At 41.0% G+C, this 24,256-nt stretch overlaps 1 long non-coding RNA gene across 1 annotated transcript in view; it reads right to left on the bottom strand.

Annotated features, from left to right (window-relative positions):
• LINC01426 (long intergenic non-protein coding RNA 1426) overlaps positions 2,325-24,256 on the bottom strand; it is a 39,062-nt gene continuing 17,130 nt past the window's right edge. The window contains exons 2-3 of the long non-coding RNA NR_038885.1: positions 5,021-5,086; positions 2,325-4,630 (exon numbers count right to left, since the gene is read on the bottom strand). This is a non-coding gene — a long non-coding RNA (long intergenic non-protein coding RNA 1426). The remainder of the gene's footprint in view (positions 4,631-5,020; positions 5,087-24,256) is intronic.

Here is a 24,256-nt window from a genome sequence, read left to right as displayed (position 1 = left end):
AGGGCTGTATGTTCAACCTAAGGCCAGGAAGCTTCATCTGCCTTCATTGCTGTACATTGCAGGAATCAGGCTTGGGTAGTGGTTGGGAGTTTTTTAAAAGAAATACTTCTCTCACCACCACCCCAGTGCAAAGTATCTTTAGTATTTTAGTTTCAAGACTCTGGGTTCAACTCAAGGTATCTTCCCACCAAGAATTACTGTCTAAAGTATCTTCCAGTTCTGTCACTGCTGTCTCATGGGACCTCATGACTGATGCTAGAAGAAAATCTTCAGCCGAATCAAGTTTAAAGGAGTTTAACTGAGCAATGAACAATTTGTGAATCGGGCAGCCCCCAGGAACACAGCAGATTCACGGAGACTCCAGGGGTGCCTCGTGGTCAGAACAAATTTATAGACCAAACAGGTAGAGTGATGTACAAGAATCGGAAGTGAGGTACAGATACAGTGAGATTGGTTACAGCTTGGCGTTTGCCTTATTTGAACGCAGTTTGAACATTCAGGAGTCTATGAGTGGTTGAATTATGACCACTGGGATTGGCCAACCCTTAGCTATTGTTACAGGTGCATACTATTAAGTTAGGTTTTTAATTTTGTCTGACCATTAAGCTAGGTTACAGTTCATCCACAGGACTCAAATATAGAAATATGGAGTCCTTCTCAGGCCATATTTAGTTTGCTTTAACATTGATCTTAAATGGTCTGCAGGAGGACCACAAAAAATGTCAGGAACCAAAGTGGGGTCAGCAAGAAAGGATGTGACCTAGAAGTCACCGCTCCTGAGCACAGGTAGGAAACAGGGGTAGGATCAGGCAGTACATGGACATGGCCATGCACAAAGAAGAAGAAAACAGAAGCTTGTCAGTGAGATGCTTGATTACCACGTCTCTAGCCAGTCGTTAAACTAAACTTTAGTGTCAGAGAGATTTTGTACCTTCTGAAGAGCTCAAGTTATTTCAGAGGAGAAACCTAGGCCTGAAGAAGAAAACAACAAACATTTGTGCCTTGATGTTGACCTTGATCGCCTGGCTGAAGTAGCGTTTGTTATATCTCTCTTCCAGAATGTTACCCTTTTATCTCCCCCGACTTTTCACTGTCCCCTTTGGAAGGAAGTCACGATGCACAGCCCCACTTAGGGAATGTGGAGCTATGCTCTCGTTTCCTTCAGGAGGCAGGAGTCCTTGGCTGAGGACACCAGGACACCCCCCACCCAGTGGCCTCATGCCTCATGGGAAACAGAGCCCAGGTGTCCTCCGTGTGAAGGCTCTCTCTGCTCCAGAGAGGACAGGTAGCTCCTCCCCCTGCTAAGGTGCACCAATGCCTACCCCCACCCCTCCAGCCTAGAGGATCCAAAAGTTCAGAATGTTCAGGGTTCTAGAAGCAGCTCCACATTGCCCACTTTGGGCTGTCTTTGTATAAGGCCAAGCTTTCCCACCCACACTCCACCCACCCTCCAATAATGTAGACAAAGTCCCCACCAGAGTTTCCCAATGTGGCTCAGGATTCTAAGAAGTCACCACCATTTCTTGGGGGTCGGGGGAAAGAACTGGCTGGGGTTTATCTTATAACCTCACAGAATTCCCCACATCTTTATTCAAAATGAGCCCACCCTGTGGTCATGACGATGCTTACCTGGGTTCCCAGAATCCTAAATCCCAGAATCTAAAGGGAACTCACAGATGAATAAATGCAATCCTCCCTCAGATGTATAAATACCTCTCCCCACCCCTTGGGGTTTCTCCACAGATAGTTTTGCCTCCTTCCTGACTGATATAATAGAACTAAGTTCTCATGTTCATGTTTTTTTCAGAGGGAGAGAAGATGGCATGGAATGTGTTTCCTGGCCCAGTGGGAGGAGTGTGAGTTGTGTGGCAAATTTTAATATTGGTAATTAAATTTTGCATACCTCAAATTCTCCTTCTAGTTTCAATTTCATTGATGCTGTTGTAAGAATTAATTAATGTTTTGAAAGTGTTTTGAACATGAAAAGTCTTACACGCATACAAAGTATGATTATTTGTTATTACGAATAATTGCATGCAGACACTTTTTTTCCTCTCACCGCAGTGATTCTGTGAGGCTTTCTGCGGACAATTAAAAGCAGCAATGTCTTGCTTACAAAATGGCTGCCTTTCATCAAAAGCTTATTCTTACAGTCATTCACATATTGATTCATTTATTCATCTAACATTTGTTGAATGATGGGCACTGGGGAACTGAGGATAGTCACAATCCATGAACCAGGCAGACAGACAAAGCCAAGTTTATGGACCACACTCTTACAAGGACCCCACACTTCCTATATGGTTCTGCTATCTCCATCTTAATTTTTTTTTTTTTTTTTGAGATGGAGTCTCATTCCATTTCCCAGGCTGAAGTGCAACCGTGCGATCTTGGCTCACTGCAACCTCCACCTCCCAGGTTCAAGTGATTCTCCTGCCTCAGCCTCCTGAGTAGCTGGAATTACAGGCAGACACCACCACGCCCAGCTCATTTTTGTATTTTTAGTAGAGACAGGGTTTCGCCATGTTGGCCAGGCTGGTCTCGAACTCCTGACCTCGTGATCTGCCCGCCTCAGCCTCCCAAAGTGTTGGGATTACAGGCGTGAGCCACCGCGCCTGACCCATCTTGAAATTCTTAATAGTTTCTTGTAACAAGAGTCCCTGAATTCTTATTTTGTACAAGGCCCATGAATTATGCAGACAGTCTTACAGACAGGTAAACAGACATCCAAAGTATAACATATGGGGCTATAACATAGGTATAAAATACTCCAGAAAGGTACTAGTGAAACTCAACCTGAACAAGTTGGGGAGGACTTTAATAAATAAGTGACATGTGCTTTCAAAAGACAGATGGAGGTTTTCATGCCAAAAAAGGAGAATTGTAATCTGTACAGAAGGAGGGCATGAACCAATTACACACATTTTTTCCTAGAAATCATGGTAAGATGACCAGGTTGACATTGAATTCCGTTGAAGCTCCTTGCCTATGCACTTCGGGAGAAATGTATGAAAGTGTTAGGAGATGCAAAGTAAGAAACACTGCAACTAAGCAAGCTGAGAATAATTTTATCTGAAGGGTGATAAAGGGACAGTTCTCAGAGATATTTCTGTGTCCAACATTATGTGTATGCACTTATATATGCACATAACATACACATGTGCATACACGCATGCACACACTGTTAGGTCAGCTGCTTAGAGCACCAGGCTGATAAGGCCAGGGTCATCTGAGCCATTAAATGTACTGGATTAAAGTGCCATGGGGATGAAATTCTGGGTTCAAATTCCTGAGAAAACTTACTAGCTTTGCTCTAAGTCATGGCCCCAAAGTGCTTCCTAGCCTCAGGCTGCTGTCTGTCAACAGTAATCCAAAACAGTACTAGAAGTCCCCCTACCACACACACACAGACAGTAGCCACCTAGAAATATCCCTGCATAGGGTCATTATTGTGTCAAAAGAGAGAGAGGGACAAAGTTACTATTATGGGTTGGACTGTGTCCTCTTAAAATTCATATGTTAAAGTCCTAACCCCCAGGACCTCAGAATGTGACCTAATTTGGAAATAGGTTTGTTGCAGATATAACTAGTTAAGATAAGGTCATCAAGGAGTAGGGTAGACCTCCAACATGACTGGTATCCTTATAAAAAGGAAAAATGTGGACACAGAAACACGCACACAGGGAGAATGCCACATGCGGATGAAGGCAGAAATTGGGGTATTGCTTCTATAAGCCAAGGAATGCCAAATATGGCCAGTGACCCCCAGAAGTTCAGGGAGAGGCCTGGAACAGATTCTCCTGCACAGTCCTCAGAAGGAACCAGCTGTGCTGACACCTTGATCTCAGACTGCCGGCCTCCAGAACTGAGAATAAATTCCTGTTATGTAAGCTGCCCATGTGTGGTGCTTTATTTGGGCAGCCTTAGCAAATTAATAGAGACACAGCCATGGAGAAGGCCCAGATTTTCTCCTAAGAGGCATGGGCTGTGGTGCATCCTGCATCCCCTTCCTGTGCCTGGCGCTGACTCAGGCCTCGCCTCTGCATTACTCCCCTGCACCAGATGAGCTCAGCCTGCACCCTAGAGTCAATGTGAGTGTTCAAGCGTGGTGTTTGTCACCGATTTTATTTCCCAGAAAAATGTCCCATGGGAAGGGGTGTGATCTCAACACTCCCCTCTCAAGTGTTCAAAGTGGATTATCCACCTGGTGAGACAGCAGGCTTTAATCCTGTTTGGCTTGCCTGGGTCACCCAACATCTCTTCCCCATCAGTCAGTGTGTGCTGAAGGAATGCAAATGACATACCATGATCACAAAGCAAAATATAATTAGTAGGGTAAATGTGCTGAGTGAAGACATTTATAAAATGCATTGAATAGAGAAAGCAGAATTTTTCCAGAATTGGGCTTAATTGTCCTGCTCAGTACAAATGGCATCTACCAGCCACTGAGAATGCTCCCTCCGGGTTGCTGTTGTAAGTCCTTGAATGAAACCTTATCATCTGTGAGACGGTGAAGCATAAGAGAATGCTGCCTGAGAATGCTCCCTGAGGCACAGTTGTAACTCCAACACGGGCTCGCTGGGGTTCTGTGGGCACGTTGCAAAATACCTCTGCACCTCACTTTCCCAGTCTGTAAAATTAAAATAATAGGTTTATTGTGAGGTTGACATGCATTGAAGCACGCCAAGCTCTTTGAACAGTGCCTGCTACCTTATGAATGCTCTAAAAAATATAAGCTATTATTACCCAGTAATTCGTTCAACAGCTCTCTGTCCTGTGCTTTCTCTCTGCCTATTACTGGGGATTCCAAATTGAATAAGACCCAGATCATGCCCTAGGATAACTCACACTCTCCCTGTGTCCTAGTTCCAGAGAAAAGAACCACATCTCTGGTGGGAAGAACTGCATAAGATCGGTGAGTTTCTAGATACCAGTCTGTATTAGTCTGTTTTCATGCTGCTGACAAAGACATCCCCGAGACTGGGTAATTTATAAAGAAAAAGAGGTTGAATGGACTCACAGTTGCACATGGCTGGGGAGGCCTCACAATCATGGCAGAAGGCTAAAGGCACTTCCTACATGGCGGCTGCAAGAGAGAAAATGAGAGCCAAGTGAAAGGGGGAACCCCTTATAAAACCGTCAGATCTTGTGAGACTTATTCACTACCACAAGGACAGTATGGGGGAAACCGTCCCCCATGATTCAATTATCTCCCACCAGGTTCCTCCCACAACATGTAGGAATTATGGGAGCTACAATTCGAGATGACAGTTGGGTGGGATTACAGCCAAACCATATCACAGTCTCAGGTATCTAGCAGCCTGGGCAGGCACTAGGTTCAGACGTCCACATGAGATGCGTTTCGCCACCTGTGTGCAGCTCCTCTGTCACTGAAGAGTCAGTCACCCGCTGCAGGTGGGAGTGGCGGAGGATGCATCAGAAATGGCCACAGGAGGTGCTGGGAGACCCACATACCAGGTTCAGCTGAGTGAACTTTTATTCATTTTTCCAGGAAGTATTTGTGGCATCTACTCTGTGCCAGGCCCCATGCCAGCCACAGGAGACGTGGCAATAAACACAGACAGAATCCTCTCCCTCCTAATGGGGAGGCAGACCCTAAGCAAATTAATAAGTAACATATTGTATGGTGGACGGGGTAATTGTTTCCTCTAGGGCTAATATAACAAAGAACCACAAACTTGGTGGCTTAAAACAACAGAAATGTATTGTCTCACAGTTACGGTGGCCAGAAGTCTAAGATCAAGGTGTCAGCAGGGTGGATTCCTTCTGAAGGATCTGAGGGAGAATTTGTTCCAGGTCTTTCTCCTTCTCCATTTCTGGTGGATTCTGCAATCCTTTGTGCTCCTTGCTGCTACAGTTTAAATGTGTCCCCCAAAATTCCTATGTTGAAACGTAATCACCAACCTGGCAGTAGTCACAGAAGTGGGGCCTTTAGGAGGTGGTTCCGTCATGAGGTTGGAGCCCTCATGAATGGGATTAGTGTCTTACAAAGGGCTGGAGGGAACCAGCCAGGCCCATTTTTACCCTTTTGCCCCTTCCACCACGTAAGACACAGCATCCATCCTCTCTGGTAGCAACGAGGCATCATCTTGGAAACAAAGACCGAGCTCCTGTTAGACACCAAACCCACAAGTGCCTTGGACATCCCAGCCTCCAGATCTGTGAGAAAATACATTTCTATTGTTTATAAATTGCCCATTCTCAGGTATTTTATCAACACAAATGGACTAGGATGCTTGCCTCGATGCATCACTCCCATTGCCGCCTCCTTCCTCAAGACCTTCTCCCCTGGGGGTCTCTATGTCCAAATTTCTCTGTTCTTACCAGGATGCCAGTCCTTGGATTAGGCCCACCTGAATCCATCTTGATTCATCTTGATTGTATGACCTCATCTTGATTCTATCTGGAAACACCTTATTTCCAAACAAGGTCACATCCACAGGTCTTAGGCGTTAAGTCTTGAATATAACTTTTAGGGGACACAATTTTAGGCACAGTAGATGAGGATGTGGCTATGGAGGGCCAAAGAGATGGACACACCAGGGTTGGGGTGCTACAATCCAGGGAAGGGCCCCCTGTGAAGAAACTGGAAGGATGTGGGAAAGTTAGCCAATTTAGGTAAAAGGAATAGTGAGTGTAAAGGCGGAGCTCGCCGGAGGCCAGTGTGGCTGAAGGACATGGCATCACAGAGGTACCTGGGCCAAGTTCCATAGTGCTGCCATTGTGAGATTTTGGCGTTTCTTCTGAGTGAGAGGGTTTTGAGCAGAGAGGTAACACGAACTACTGGGAAGTTGCTAGATGCCTGTAGAGGGCATCTTGGTATATATAGAAAAGGGTGCCCCTTCTTCCAGGTGGGTGCAGCCTTGGAGAAAGGTACACAGCTCAGCCAGTGGAGCAGGGTTGGGTTTCAGTTCCCATTCACCCACTGGGACCTCCATGTAAGAGATTATTGCAGTGGCAGAGGTAAGAAGTTGTTGGATTCTGAATCTATTCTGAAAGTAGATCCAACAGGATGTGCTGTTGGATTAGATATGGTGTATTAGTTCATTCTCACATTGCTGTAAAGAACTACCTAAGCCTGGGTAATTTATAAAGAAAAGAGGTTTAATTGACTCACAGTTCTGCAGGCTACACAGGAAGCATGGCTAGGGAGACCTCAGAAAACTTACAGTTGTGCTGGAAGGTGAAGAGGAAGTAGGCACGTCTTACATGCTGGGAGGAGGGGGAAGGGGAAAAGGAGGAGGTGCTACACACTTTTAAACAACCAGATCTCAGTCTGGCAACATGGCAAAACTCATCTCTACGAAAAAAAAAAAAAAAAAAAAAAAGATGCAAAAATAAGTTAGCCAGGCATGGTGGCAGATGCCTGCGGTCCCAGCTACTTGGGAGGCTGAGGTGGGAGGATCACTTGAGCCAAGGAGGTTGAGGTTGCAATGAGCTATCACACCACACTGCACTTCAGCCTGGATGACAGAGTGAGACCTTGTCTCAAAACAAAACAAAACAAAACAAACAACAACAACAACAAAAAAACAGATCTCATGAGAACTCGCTATCACGAGAACAGCAAGGGGGACGTCCGCCCCCATGATCCAAGTCACCTTCTACCAGGCCCCTCCTCCAACACTGGTGATTATGATATGACATAAGATTTGGGCAGGGACACAAATCCAAACCATATCATATGGTGCATTAGAAAAATACGGTTTGGGGCCTAAACAACTAGAAGCATGAAATGGCCATTCTCTGAGATGAAAATTTGGAGAGGGGCAAGTTTATCTAGGAACCCCAGTCTGATAGTGGGGCAGAAGGGAACCCTGAACTCAATGCTCTTCAAGATTTCTTCCAGTACAACTATGAAGAATCCACTCAGGTGGAAACTGTGGTAGCTGAAGAAAAACTGGTCTGCCCTTGTCAGGAATGGTGCATGAGAGCCATATACATGGACTTAACAGGAAAGCAGTATTCCATCTTCCAACATGTATTCGGTGATCCAGATCTGACCCTTTGCAAAGCCAGAAGACCCTTGAACTGTCCTCCCCATGGTCTCATTGTCCATGTTAATAGGTGAGGAATTTCCTCTTCCTTTGGCCTTACTGCTGATGGGCAGTGGGCTGAGTGTTGGCTCCACCTTCTCCCTACATCACCTGGCAGTGAAGAATGGAGGGAGTTCACTAAGCCTGTGCGTGCCTTGAGTTTGATTGTCAAACAGAATTCCTTGCATGTTAAAACCTACAAAAGCAATAGGATTTATATAGCTGAAATACTTGTACCTTTCTTCCATTAAAGAACTTTAGAGAGGTAAAAATTTCTAGTTGCCTACCCCAATATCGGTTTTCCTTAGTCATAGATTCCCTTGGGGACATGACGGCCTGGAAGAAAGACCACACCACCCAGCCTCCTCACAGCTTGGTGTCCCATATGACAAATTTCTGGCCAATGTTATCTAAATAAAGGTGGGTATGGCAGTTTCCAGAAAACTTTCTTTAAAGTTTACATGCTTTGCCCATTCTCCATTTCTGCCCCAGCCCTACTGCCTGAAATGAAGAGGTGATGATTAGAGAAAGAGCACCACATCCCTAGAAGGGTGGATGGTGTTAGGAGGAGCTTGGCCGAGTGTCTTTGTGGAGGCCCCATCCCAACCCTGGATTGCTTGTGTCTGGATTCATCTACCATGAAAGAAGTTAAACATCTATCTCTCACATAAAGCATTCAAATGTGGGGTTCTCTGTCACTGCAAACAAACCGAATTATAACTGACATACACGTAAATGGTTTCTATGAGTCAACTTTGGCAGAAGCACTGACCAGGGGTAAAAGTGCTTTATCTTCTTTCAGATTCTGATTTCTTCCAGATTCTTAAGAGCCCTTCAGGGTGTTCAAGGACTACAAAATAATGAGGCAGCGAGGGGAGGTGTGAGGGTAGCACTAGCATCTACCATAAGGTGCTTCCCCTGCTAGTTCATCGGCAACTCTGCCCCAAGTTTCCAACAAACCTAAAATGTCTAGGTGGATTTGTTAGAAACCACTTCGACTGTGATCCATGTGCCTGACAAATGCCCTTAAAATTCCATCCAACTTTAGAGGTTTTTGCAGTATTTCCATGTGCCATTTTTATTTGCCATCTTGCTTTTTTAAATATTCAATATATCTAAGGCCATCTCTCTTTTTTAAATCTTTGATAAGCAGTCATCAAATTTACAGTGTTTTGTAAATAATGAATTTTTTAAAAACATTTTGGTGTTGTCTTAGTCCATTGGGGCTGTTATAACAAAATATCATAGACTGAGTGGCTTATAAATGATAGGAATTTTTTCTCTCAGTTCTGGAGGTTGGGAAGTTCAAGATCAGACTGGCAACATGGTTGGGTTCTGGTGAGGACGCTGTCTGAGTTATAAACAGCTGACTTCTTGCTTTGTCTTTGCATGGTGCAAAGGGTGAAAGAGTTCCCTTGGGCCTCGTTTGTAAGGGTACTAACCCCATTCATGAGGCCTCCACTTTCATGACCTAATCACCTCCCAAATGCCCCACCTCCTGATACTCACTTTGGAGGTTAGGATTTCAGTATATGAGTGTAGAGGGTATGCACACATTTAGAAAATAGCAAGTGTCATTTTTCCTTGTGAATAAATGAGAGACTTTTAAGCCAGATTTTCTAAAGATACTTTTCTCAAAATTTAGTTAATATTTTTTTAGTTAGTTTTAATCAATTATGTTACCTTGTGTTTAGTTTTACATGAAGAGCTTACAGATGTGAAACTTTCAAAGAGGTGAATTTTAAGAGAATTAGCCATTAGGTGATCAATCATTAGGCAGGTTTTCTATGAATTGGTTTTGGGTGACATGCTCCTTGACACATGTCGCATTTCCAGAACCTATGCTCTATAAACGTAGTCAAATGACTTGAAATCTCCAAGTCTCAGCTTCCACACATGTAAGATACAGATTTTTAGATACCCATCTCATTTAGCTACTGATATAAAAGGGAAAAATAAAAAAGAAGACAATAGAAAATGTCAGAGAGGATAAAGAACAATGACAACTCTCACACTTTGCAGGTGGGAGTATAAATAGATATTACCAATTGGAAAAATAATCTGACATTACTCCTAAAAAACTGAACACACACTTATAATAAGTCCTAGTATATCCCTAAGACTATTTCTAGTAGTGTTTTCCACTGCTAGAAAAATACTTCACAAACTCCTTTCATGTGTACCCGAAGATGTATGCAAATGCTTACAGCAGCACTTGTACTAGCAAAAAGTGGAAACAACCCAAATGTCCACAACAGAAGAATAGATAATAAGTTGTGTTACGTTCTTGCAGTGGAATAGTATATAGAGATAAACAGGAATGGGCTGGGCACAGTGGCTCATGCCTGTAATCCCAGTACTTTGGGAGGCCAAGGCAGGTGGATCACCTGAGGTCAGGAGTTCCAGACCAGCCTGGCCAATATAGTAAAACCCTGTCTCTACTAAAAATACAAAAATTAGCTGGGTGTGGTGGTGGGTGTCTGTAATCCCAGCTACTCAGGAGGCTGAGGCAGGAGAATCACTTGAACCTGGGAGGCGGAGGCTGCAGTGAGCTGAGATCACGCCAGTGCACTCCAGCCTGGGAGACAAGAGCAAAACTCTGTCTCAAAAAAAAAAAAAAAAAAAAATGGACTACCATTACATACGGCAAGATAAGTTATGGTGAAAAAATCAGAAGAGCACACAGAGTATGATTCCATTTATATAAACTTCAAAAGCAAACAAAACTAAATGATGTATTTTTTATGCAAGCATATCTAGATACTTTTAAAAATCTAGGGAAATGATTAACACAAAATTTAGGATCCTAGTTTACATTTGGTAGCAGAGGGGGAGTGACGGGGGAATTCTGGGATTCAGTTGTTCTGTTTATTAGCTTAGGTGGTTAAAGAATGCATATTTATTTTGTCATTATCCACAAAATTTGGTTGAAGTAGACTGCTAACATGATCAAAACTCAATTTTGGATCAACTGAGTTTGCTCTGGTCCATAGTCCTCTTGGAATCCCATAAACTAATCTGTAATGTGACCATTAAATACCTGTGGTCACCAGGGGAACCAGGTAGAAAAGCTTCGGATTCCACATTCCAGTGCCTGTGGTTCTTGTATGCAAGGTAGAATTTATTTCTGTTGCATCATTTGGGTCAGAGGAAAACGCCAACGTGCCGTTGAGGCTGAAAGTATTCATCAGTGTAAGTCACATGGTGATCTGACTTTCTTTGAATGTTTCTTAACAACCGCCATCCTCAAAGCCCTTACAATGTCCCTGCAGTTGTTTATGAGCCCTCTCGGGTTGTTCCATGAAACAGAGGCTATAGGCATGTTGTCCATAGATTAGCCCTTCCGGATGTGGCTAATGGTTTCAATACCAGGCAACGGGGATATATGTTTGTGGGCACTGAGGAGTAGGAGATGGTTAGAGACCCTTCATCAAAGTAAAACAGAATGGCACCAACCACAGATTTAATTCAAAAACAAAACACTATTGGTTGTGGTTTCAATTGTCTCTTTCTTTCTTCACAAATACCTCACATCTGTGTAAAGATTGGCTCAAACCCCACTTAAAAAGCAAGCCCTTACCAAGATTCTAGTTCATTGATTAACAAGGAGGGAAGAAAGCTTGCTTTATGCTGTAAAAAGTTTGATTTAATTGCCCTCCTCCCTGGCCTCTTTTTGTCTAAATTGCAAAGTCCCGCAGTCTTGAGACTCTACTTGGATTTCCTCCCAATATTTGAATACATAAATATAGGTCTGTGAGTACGCTGCCACCGTTTATGAGCCTTTTAAAGATCAAAGAGTCATTTTCAGCTCTTGGGTTTGTCACTTTAAAACATACCGTACTTTACAATTTAATGGGTAGTTCTTTCAGAATAGCCCATTAGCTCTCCCCATTTCTGTCTTAACAGAATCCTACAGTTTATATAAAGAAGAAATGCCTTTAATGCAGGATGCAACTCAATTTCCAACATCTTAAAATGCTCAGAATCTCCCTTTACTGGAGCTGAGTTTTAAAGGGTACAGTTCTGAGCCACCATACATGTCATTCTAAAGATGCCAGTAGCTCTGATTCAAAATTGGTTGGTCACATTGACAAAAGAGAACATCAAAAAGTCAGGAAGAAGTAAGAGTCCACAGAACACCACTTCTCCAAGTGCTTGCAGAGCTTGAAATGTAAAGAATGACTCTAAAATTATGTAGCCTGGGGACCAGGTCATATTGCGTAACAGGTTAACAGTGACGATCCTTGCATGTTTACCTAATGTTTTTTGGGGCAACACCTTTAAATTCAGCATTGGGTTCAAATTTGAACTTTTGGACAGCTTCAGTATTTCTTACACAGATTAAGATGACTATAGAACAAATAAGAGAAATAATAAAATGAGGAAAAATAAACATCTTAAACTTTTAGTTTAAATTGATGCACTGGCTGAAATCATAAGCATGATCTGTGTGTTCACAGAACTGGTTCTCAGAAGCATACCAGGTTGCCTGCCCTAAAGTTAGGTGGAGTTATTTATTTGGTTTGTGGAAAGTAGGTTTTGAAAGATTACTACCTCCATCGATGGTGGTGGAATAGTGTGTTACAAATTAACACTCACACAGAGAAAAATTAACAATTTTAAATCACTTCTCTCTCTCTCTCTGTGTGTGTGTGTGTGTGTGTGTGTGTGTGTGTGTGTGTGTGTGTGTTTGGAGACATCAAACCAAAGTAGCAAGGACTTGAGGAGCCAATATCTTGGGGAAAAAAGGAAAGTTAAAAAGAAGTGAGAAGTGAGATAAGTCTGACATATGTCCATTACTTTATTTTTCTCCTCAAGGCATTTTATGTTTCTCAGAAAGATGCTGAGAAGCTAAGAAACTTCTGCATGTCTTGCAGGGAGCAGGAACAAAATTGGAGTGAAGGACTCTCCAAAGAAAAGAGGTGCTGGTAAAGAGCACAGGCTTTCCACTGGGGTGCTCAGAGAGCTATACTTGGGAGAACAGCCTCACAGGTACTGAAACTCAGACTCTAATCACCCCAATATCTGCATAGGCAAGTCATTCCAAACCAACTGACTTCAAAACATACAGAGCTGCAAATTGTCTCAACAATTTTTATACAAAATGCTTTGTGTTTAATTGCAAATTACTTCATACACCAGGAGACATGAACACATAACAGAAAACTGAGAGAAATCAACAGAGAAAGGAACAGCCTCACAGGATTTATCAGATATTTAGTTTAAAATATATGTGATTAATAAATCCAAGAAATTAGATGGCTATGTGGAAACCCTCAGCAGAGAACTTGAACCTGTAAAAAGAAGAAAGTGGACATTCTACAACTGAAAAATGCTTGAACTGAAATTAAGAAATTAATGAATGAATATAATAGTAAGTGACAGAAAGCTGAAAAAGGAATTAATGAACTGGAAGATCAGTCAGAGGAAATAACCAGATTGAAATAGTTTTGTTTTGTTTATAAATGGTACATACAGAAACATACAAAAAGAAACATAAGAGATGTAAGGTTACATGATGAAAGGTCCACTATGTATGTATTCAAAATTCCAGGAGAGGAGAATGAGAATAGGTAGGAACAGTGTTCAAAGAGACGATAGCCAAGAAGTTTCCACAACTACTGAAAGGTAACAAGCCACAGTTTAAAAAGTGCTAAAAACACCAAGCAGGATAAATACAGTCATGTGTCACTTAATGACAGGATAGGCTCTGAGAAATATATCATTAGGCAATTTTGTCATTGTGTGAACCTCAGAGTGTGTTAGTGTGTACTTACATAAAACTGGATGTATACATATTTTTAGTTACACACACACACACACACACATATATATATGCTTCATATGAAAAACCAAATGTCTCAGCACCAATACTGAATATCAATCATTTCCCCTATTTGATTTGTAATGCCAACATCAAGTGCCGTACATCAGGTTTCTATTTATGCTCCATTACAATCTTATAGGACCTCTGATGTGTAAGTGGTCTGTCATTGACTGAAACATGGTTATATGATGCATGACTGTACTAAGAAAACTACATCTAAGTACATCATAGTAAAACTGCATTGAAAACCAAAAACATGGCCGGGCACGGTAGCTCACGCCTGTAATCCCAGCACTTTGGGAGGCCGAGGCGGGCGGTTCACGAGGTCAGGAGATCGAGACCATCCTGGCTAACACGGTGAAACCCCATCTCTACTAAAAATACAAAAAATTAGCCGGGCGTGGTGGCGGGCGCCTGTAGTCCCAGTTACTCGGGAGGCTGAGACAGGAAAATGGCGTGAACCTGGGAGGCAGAGCTTGCAGTGAGTCGAGATAGCGCCACTGCACTCCAGCCTGGGCGACAGAGCGAGATTCTGTCTCCAAAAAAAAACGAAAGAAAGAAAGCAAAAAAGGAAACCAAAGACAGAAAAAACTGTTAAAGCCAGAGAAAAGAAAAAAGACATATTATCTTCAAAGAGCAACTGTAAGACAAATGACTTCTAAACAGAAAAAGTAGAAGTCAGAAAGTAATGGAGTGGCATCTTCAAAGTGCTAAAAGAAAATAACTGCAAACAGAACTCTTTACTCAGTGAAAATATATTTTAAAATAAAGACAGAATAAAGACAGTTTCAGATCAACAAAAACAGAAAATTTGTCACCAGAGTATTGCAATACAGAAAAATTATAAAAAGAATTCTTTGAGAAGAAGCAAAATGATTTCCTATGGAAATGTACACTGCAAGAAGGAATGAGGAGCAATGGAGATGGTAAAATACAACAGTATGAAACACTAAAAATATCTTGTGAGGCTTAAAAATAGACAGAGAATTAAAATATGTGATAAAAGTAACCCTACAGGCAGGAAAAAACAAAGTATCCTATGGACTTTGCCTTGTCCATGAGTGATTTAAAAGGTATTAATTTACATTAGATTTTAACGTCAAAGATGCGTGTTGTAATTTAGAGTAACCACTAAAAGAAGGTATAATCAACAAACATTTAGCAGAGCAAAGGAATAAAAAATTATTCCAAATAAGGCAATAAATATGTATTAGCTGTCTACTGATTTGTAACAAGTTGTCCCAAAACTTAACACTTAAAACAACAAAACATTGAATGTTTCACAGATTCTAGGAGTAAGGAATTTAGGAAAAAGCTAAGCTAGATGGCTCTCAGAGTCTTTCATGAGCTTGCTGTCAAGGTGTTAGCCAGGGCTTCAGTCACATGAAGTCTTGCCTGGGGTAGAAATACAGTAACTGCCCCCCGACCCCCACCCATTAACCATGGTTTTGCTTTCTGAGATTTCAGTCACCCACAGTTAACTATGGTCTGAAAACGTTAAATGTAAAATTGCAGAAATAAACAACTCAGAAGCCTTAGATTGCACACCGTTCTGAATAGGGTGATGAAATCTCATGCCAACTGGGACGTGAATCATCCCTTTGTTCAGTGTATCCGTGCTGTATACCCTTCCTTTCATCACTTAGTAGTCAGTCATCTCAGTTACCAGGTTATCTGTTGCGGTATCACAGTGCTTGTGTCCCAGTCACCCTTATTTTACTTAATAATGGCACCAAAGCACAAAAGTAGTGCTGCTGGCAATTCAGATAAGCCAAAAAGAGGCCAGAAAGTGCTTTCTTTAAGTGAAAAGGTGAAAGTTCTCAGCTTACTAAGGAAAGAAAAAAATCATATGCCGAGGTTGCTAAGATCTATAGTACAATAAGATATTTTGAGAGAGAGAACCACATTTACATAACTTTTATTACAGTATATTGTTATAATAGTTCTATTTTATTAAATATTGTTAATCTCAATTAATATATAAATTAATTATAAAATTTATAAAGCAGGTACATGCCTTTTTTAATCTAGTCTTTAAAAATCACTGACTGTCATTTCTGCCTTATTCTATTTGATAGAAATGACTCCCTAAGTCTAGGCCACACTCAAGGAAAAAGAGATTAAGTTCCACTTCTTATCAGAGAATCTGTGGACATGGTTTAATACTGCAATAAAATGAGAGAAAAAGAATTACAGAAAATGAAACAAATAGAAAATCAAAGACAAAAGGGTAGATTTCAAACCACATATCTCAGAAACTATATTAAATACAAAGATTAAATGTTTTGGTACAATGACAAAGACTAGGAGACATGATAAAAAATATGCTGCTAATAAGCACAACTTAAATATGAGTATACATTTAACAGAGTAATGGAATAAATAATTACTTTGAATAAATAATTTAAGGCTTATGAATTGTTGATTTCTGCAATTTTCCATTTAATATTTTCAGCCTATAGTTGACTGTGGGTGACTGAAACCTCAGAAAGCAAAACCATGGTTAAGCGAGCATTACTGGAATTCAACCCCAGTAAAGCCTTCATATGACCACGGCGCTGGCTGACACTTTGATGGCAAGCTCATGAGAGGCTCTGGATTAGAGCCACCTCGCTTAGCTGTTTCTGAATTCCTTACTCCCAGAATCTGTGGAATATTAAATGTTTTGTTGTTTTTAGGTGTTAAGCTTTGGGGTAACTGGTTACAAATGAGTACATAGCTAATACACACTGCCTTTCTCAAGATCTTTCTCAAATCTTAAATATGATAAAGATTTAAAATAAAAGGATGGAAGTAGATATACACCATGCAAACACTAACCAAAAGAAAGTGTGTGTAGCCACATCAATACTAAAATAGTCCTGAAGGCAAGAAGCATAACTGGATACAGAGGGACATTTTATAATGATAATGACATTTTGTTATAAAAGGGTGAATGTACACAGAAAATATAATAATCCTAAACTGATATGCCATTAACAACACAGACCCAAAATATAGAAAACAAATTTATCAGAACAATAAGGAAAAATAAATAAAAGATCCACAATCACAGTAAGGAGATGGAGTATTTTAATACGCAAATAATAAACTTAACCTATTTGATACCTATACAGCACTATATCCAACAACTGTAGAGTAAAAGGCATGGAACATTTAAGGAAAAATAAATAATAGATCCACAATCACAGTAAGGAGATGGAGTATTTTAATATGCAAATAATAAACTTGACCTAATTGACACCTATACAGCACTATACCTAACAACTGTAGAGTAAATGGCATGGAACATTTACCACAAATTGACCCTATGCGGGTTTACAAAGCAAGTCCCAACAAATTTCAAAAGATTAAAGTCATACTGGGTATGTTCTCTAACCTCAGTGGGGTTGGATTGGAAATCAATAACTAAAAGGGAATTAGAACATTTCCAAACATTTTGAAATTAGGCACTACACTTATAAATAAATCATGGGTTTATGCAGAAATCTTTAAAGAAATACATATATTAGATATAAATATATGTAATATAAATTATATATTACAGATTTATATAGAGATATACAAGTCAATAAATATAAATTATATATGCTATATATTGATAAATATAAATTAGAAAATACATCAAAACTGTAAAATGTAGCTAAAGCAGTGCCTGGAGGGAAATTTGTAGCTCAAAGAAAGTAGATAAAAGGGCCGGGTGCAGTGGCTCACGCCTGCTATCCCAGCACCTTGGGAGGCCGAGGCGTGTGGATCATTTGAGGTCAGGAGTTCAAGACCAGCCTAACCAACAGGTTGAAACCTTCTCTCTACTAAAAATACAAAAATTATCCAGGCGTGGTGGCATGTGCTTATAATCCCAGCTACTCGGGAGGCTGAGGCACGAGAATAGCTTGAACTTGGGAGGCAGAGGTTGCAGTGAGCCGAGATTGTGCCACTGCACTCCAGCCTGGGCCACAGAGTGAGACTCTGTCTGAAAAAAAGAAAAAGAAAAAGAAAAAGAAAGTAGATAAAAGGAAATGATACAGATAAGAGCAGAAATAATGAAATGGAAAACAAATGCAATGAAGATAATTTTAATTGGCCAAGATGAGTTCTTTGGAAAACGTGTGAAACTCATAAGCTTTAGGCAAAACTGATTATGAAAAAAAGAAGGAAAAAAACCATCAATGTCATGACCAAAGAAAGGGAGACTTCACTACAGACATTAAATAGATGTAAGATATTATAAGCAACCCTATGCCAATTAATTGAAAATTTAGATAAAATGAACAAATTCACGGAAAAACACAACATATCAAACTGACAGAAGAATAAAAACTCTCTAAATAGATTAAATAATAATTTAATAACTAATTATTAAAATAATTAGTTCCATGATTTAAAACCTCCCCGTAAAGAAAACTTCAAGCCCTGATATTTCTTTGCTGAATTCTCTCAAACACTTAAGGAATTAATAACACCAATTTTACATAAATTTCTTCAGAGTTTAGAAGAAATAACATTTCATTTCATTTTATGAAGTCAAAATAACATTAATACCAAAACCTAAAACAAACATTGCAAAAGAAGAAGGGAAAAAGTACAGAACAATCTCTCCCATAAGCACATCAGCAAAAAGCCTAAACAGAGTATTATCAAGCTGAACTCTGCAATCTACAAAAGAATAATATATCAGACCAAGTTGAGTTTGTTCCAGAAATTCAAAGTGGTTTGCCATTTAATAATCAATTAATATAATAGACTAGCATAAATCATGGTGTATTTATGCAATAAGATACTATATAGTCCTGAAAATTAATAAACTTATTAACAAAATTAATAAATTTATTAATAAAATTAAAGTTAATAAAATTATTAAGAATAAACTGCTGCAACAGCAAGATCTATCTCAGAAGCATTCTTTTTGTGTGTATGTGGTGCCATCTCGGCTCACTGGAACCTCCACTTCCCGGGTTCAAGCAATTCTCCTGCCTCAGCCTACCGAGTAGCTGGGACTACGGGTGTGCACCACTACGCCTGGCTAAGTTTCATATTTTTAGTAGAGATGGGGTTTCGCCGTGTTGGCCAGACTGGTCTCGAACTCCTGACCTCAAGTGATCTGCCCAACTTAGCCACCCAAAGTGCTGGGATTACAGGCGTGAGCCACTGCACCCGGCTATCTCACAAACATTCTTTTTTAAAACACAACTGTTACCTTCGTGTTTAAGAAGCAAAACATAAAATAATACATACTGTATGATTCTGTTTATATAAAGTTCAGAAATAGGCAAAACTAATCTATGTTGTAGAGGTCAGGATAGTGATCACCTCTACAAAGGATGCAGCAGGTAGTGGTTAGGAGGAGGCTTAAGAGAACTTCTAGGGTCTGGATAATACTCTATCCCTCATATGGGTGTTAGGTTCTCAGGAGTGTGTTCATTTTGGAATAACCCATCAAGCTACATCATTAGTTATGATTTATGTATTTTTCTGTCTCTCTGTATATTTTCATGCAAAAACCTCTATAAATGGATTTACACATTGGAACTAAAAGTAGTTGTTTAGATATTCCAGATCTAACAATCCAAGTTATATACTAAATCAAAGTTGCATAGCATTTACAATCCAAAAAGTGCATTTGTACATTACTTGTTCACTCTTCACTTTAGTCATCAGAGGTAGCATAGGGTGTACATGTTTCCATTGTACATATGAGGAAATGGAAATACTAGTAAGTGCAGTGATTTTTTTCAAGATTACATAGCTACTATCATAATACCAAGTCATCCAAAAATTTTAAAAACCCAGAATTATTGAACTATCGACCATATATTTGCCTTGGACTACAATTTAGCAAAGTTCATTTAAACTACTTCAGTTAAATTCATGAACATGGCTATATAGACTCCATTTTCCCCCACTGATTTTTAGAGCCAGATTATCCAGCGTAGGGTGATGGATAGAACACAGACTGCAGTAAGGCCAAATGTTGGCAAAAAAAAAAAAAAAATCCACACCTTGCCATGAATTTGGATATGGTACTTCATTGTTCTAAACCTCACTTTCCCAATGCACAAAATGGGACTAATAACATACCTTTCATAGGGTTATTATGAGGGGTAAATCAGATGACATGGAGGAAAAAAATGCCCCGCAGAGTGCCTGAAAGTAACTTGTGCTCAGTTATGGCGGTTTTACCCCTTCCTCCCAGCCACTAACTTCATTTAGGAGGTGAGTCATCTGCCCCATGGAGGTCAACCCAAAAGCTCTTCAAATAATCATAGAATAAGGCATAGAGGGGCACTTGAATTTATCTAATGCAGCAGAGGCACCTATGGGTGAACTGGCTCATTCAAGGTCATTAATTAGTCAGACACAGGCCAGAATCCGTCCTTTCCCTTTGGCAAGTGGTAAATGTTTCCAGAGTGCATCCAGGATCATATTTTGGCATCCTGCTGTTGGGAATGAGGCTGGGGCACAAAAGCCACTGAAGTCAACCCAGCCATGGACTGGGGCAGCCCAGGGTCACAGGGGCATTTGAGGTAAGGAATTGAGACTCCATTCCCTGCATTGAGAAGGATCCAGATAGAGGCCCTCCATGCATGGATCTATAAGGGATATTTAGAGGGACTCAGTTTTGTTTTGTGTTTCCCCAAGACTCAAGTCTACCTGGTGGCTTCTACTTCCAGTAGATGATTTTATTAAAGGGGCCACACACATTTTTGGTAAGGGTGACATGCACCCCCAGAAAAGAGACAACAGAACTTCTCTGGTGCAAGAGCAGGGCTGCATTTAGCCATACTCCTGCTAAGTGACAACAGCAGTAACAGTAATGGTGGCTGCTGGCAATCCTCATAAAGGACAAGCCTATTAAGTGCTAACCCTGTGCTTGGCTCTTTATGAAGCACTTGGCATGGATTATCTTATTTAAATGATCTTTGAAATAACCTCTTTAAAATATTTATAGACATATAAAACAATATATGTCTATATATAGACACACATATATACACATATATACCCATACATGGCAGCCTCTCCATCCTTCAGACAGTCACCAATATGTATGGGTATATATGTGTATACATATATTCTTTTTAGAGACAGGGTCTCACTATGTTGCCCAAGCTGGTCTCAAACTCCTGGGCTCAAGAGAGCTGCCTACCTCAGCCTCCCAAAATGCAGTGATTGAAGATGTGAGCAATCACACCTGGCCAAGAGATATATTATTATTTTCATATTACACATAGAGCAGCCGAGCCTTAGAAAAGTAGCTTGTTCATAATTGCACAGCTAGTAAGTGGCAGAGCCATGACTCCAACTGAAGTAATCTCTCTCCAGAACGCATGTTCTTGGCCCATATTCTATACCACCTCCCTACAGAGTAGGTTCTTTGTTTAGTGAATACATTAATGAATGAGTAAATGAATAAGTGAGTGAAAAGAAATATGGATTGAGTGCCTATTACATTCCATGCAGTGAGCTAGGGCTACTGCTAAATTTCCAACTTGCAGGTAGATGATGTCATCAGGTCCTGAGATGAAGAACACAAAAGTTCGAGCATCTGTGAGGCGGAAGGTGGTGGACTGAGTTCTGGCCATATGATGCTAGGATGTCCATGCGGGACATTTTGGGAGGTCTTCATCATAATCTCCCCACATATTTTCTTTCCCTAAGTAAGTCTCTGATCCATGCAGAGATAGACAACAGACAAGCTGAATTTCTCTGGGGTTGCTCATGTATATGTCCACTGAGCCTGTCAGGATCTTCCTGATCAGACTGGTAGCTCTTAGAGAATAGGGACTGTTAGCCTCACACACTTGCAGGTCTCACATCACTACTCACTGATTGATGATTCAATGTGGCTGTTCTCAAACTTGGGCCATAAATCGCTTGGGGGAGCTAACGTCTTAGGAGTTCACCCATCAAGCTTGCTTCTTGGTGACACTGTACATATATGTCTCTTGACCAAGCAGGAAGAATTATGTTGGCTTTCTGTGAGACACCCATGACATGCTGTCAAAGCTGAATTATGTGTTTTCAATTAGTTGTCCTTGAGCTTATTCCAGAAGCAGCAACCTTCAAGGCTTAGTACAATTCCCATCTTCTCCACAAAGCACTGCTGGCCCATGGCAGCCTCTGCATCCTTCAGACAATCACCAAGACTCACTGTCTGGGCCATAATTTGGCACTTGCCTTTTATTACATCATTCATTCTATATCGTATACCAACTGTAAGCTCCATGAGGGCAAGAGCTATGGCTTCCACTTCTTTGAGTAGCAAGATAAGATTTTTAGATACATATTAATTCTACAAATCTTTATGGGGCATCAGTGATATGCCACCCATAAACAACAGAAGCAAAGCAGATTAAAATTCCTTTTCGAGTGGAGGTACTCTCTTCCCTACACTTCCTTATTCTCCCCACAACTCTCTTCCTTTATTGCTACAGTGGTATATGCTAACCACTGAGAGGGGCTACAAAGAATACAGAGATCAGGGCCAGGTGCAGTGGCTCACTCCTGTAATCCCAATGCTTTGGAAGGCTGAGACAGGAGGATCACTTGAGGCCAAAAGTTCGAGATCAGCCTGGGCAACATACAGAGACCCCCATCTCTACAAAAAAAAAAAAAAAAAAAAAATTAAAACTAAAATTAGCCAGGTGTGGTGGCATGTGCCTGGCTAATTTTATTTTTTTAATGTATTTATTTATTTATTTATTTATTTATATTTTATTTTTAGCCAGGACTCTAGCTACTCAGAAGACTAAGGTGGGAGGATCACTTGAGCTATGATTACAGCACTGCACTCCAGCCTAGGTAACAGGGCAAGACCGTGTCTCTAAAAGAAAAAAAGAGAGAGAGAGATCAGAGTAAAAGTTATGCCTTTGGTGTTCCAAGTCAGGCCTCTGGGTGTCACATCAGGGTCAAGGTTTTTAATTTGCAAGAGGAGGTTTTTGAACTCCCAAAGAATATCAAGCCCTGGTCAAGGACACTTGGTAGAAAAGAGCACACACAAGAACTAGATGACCGTGACCCTTTCCCTAGAGACTAGACAAATTTTTCCCCACAGGTAAGCTTGGAGCTGGCCCATGCTGGCAGCCAATTGTTAAATTTTCAGGAATTTTGTGAACTGCTTGAGGCTGGTAGCCTGAAATTGACCTTAATGGGAGTTTTCATGTCCCTGAAATCAGCAAGTGCTATAGATTCAGGCCTTTCTGCACACCTCTCCCCTTGCTATCAGAGCCAATTGGGAGACATTTGCCAGCACACCAATTCCTATCACTCCTTCCCCAGCCTGGGCCCTCAAAGAATTGCTCCCCTACTTCCCACCCCCAAAAGCAGTTGAGTAGAAAAGGCAGCAGGGCTAAGAAGAGATGGCCAAGATAGTACCAGAGAGCCTCAGAGAGCACCAGAACTTGTCCTCTCTCCCTGAGAGGGGTGTGCCTGGGACCTCACGGTCAGGATAGGAAGGAATCAGAGGTGGGGGCTGATGACTGGAGACCTCAGTAGGGTCTCCATGACAAAGACTCTCTCTGATGGAACTTTAGCCAGCCTTCTCAGGGCCCTCCTCTCCACTAGGCCTCAGCCTTGCAATAAAGACTTGAGCAAACGCTAATGTCTTTTCTAACAGCCCAAGGCCACATCCCTAGGATGGCCCTACCCTCCTCAAAGTGCCTGCATGAGAAAACTCAAGGCTAGCAAAAAAATCTACTGTTTGTTCCAGCCAAAACCTGAGGACAGGGCTTCTGCCTCCCAGTCTCCATGGGAGGAGAGAATCCTAACTTTGATAATTGTCAGCCAGCAGACACAGCTGGCCTAGTCACATTTTTGCTGGTGAACTCTGTGTAATTTTTCACTTTCCTGATTCTGCTGAGCCCCCACTTGCCCCTGCCTGCTCCCTCATTCTCCCTTTAAAATGTGCAGTTACCTCTGTACAAATCCAAGTTCAAGTCACATTGAACTCTTCTCCCCATTGCAATAGTTATTCCTGATTAAAATCTGTCCTCGCCACTTTAGCTAGTATCTGGCTTTGTTCATCTTTAACAACAGGCATCTCATAACATAACTAATTATTTTAATCATTATTATAAATAATTAACTAAATAGAAGTGGGCCATGGTGAGAGTTTGGCATGACCCAAAGTTTATGATTAATCCAATTCTGTGTACCTGCGATCCAAAAGATGAAGAAAAAGAAGGAGGAGGAGGAGGAAGGAGAAGAGTAAAACACAGACAGCCATGTGCTGACTGCCATGTTGGGACCACAGGCATCTTGGCCAAAGCCAAAGAGGGCAGAGAATGTTGACACCAGATGCTGTGGTTTAGGCAGCTGCTTTTCTGGGAAGAAAGGAAAGACAGAAACTCCTGAGCTCACTGAGCTAAGTCCT

The sequence above is a fragment of the Homo sapiens genome, chromosome 21 (genome assembly GCF_000001405.40).
Source record: "Homo sapiens chromosome 21, GRCh38.p14 Primary Assembly".
NCBI lineage: Eukaryota > Metazoa > Chordata > Mammalia > Primates > Hominidae > Homo > Homo sapiens.
The sequence above is the reverse complement of the archived record's forward strand: the minus strand, read 5'-3'. Positions and strand labels throughout refer to the sequence as shown.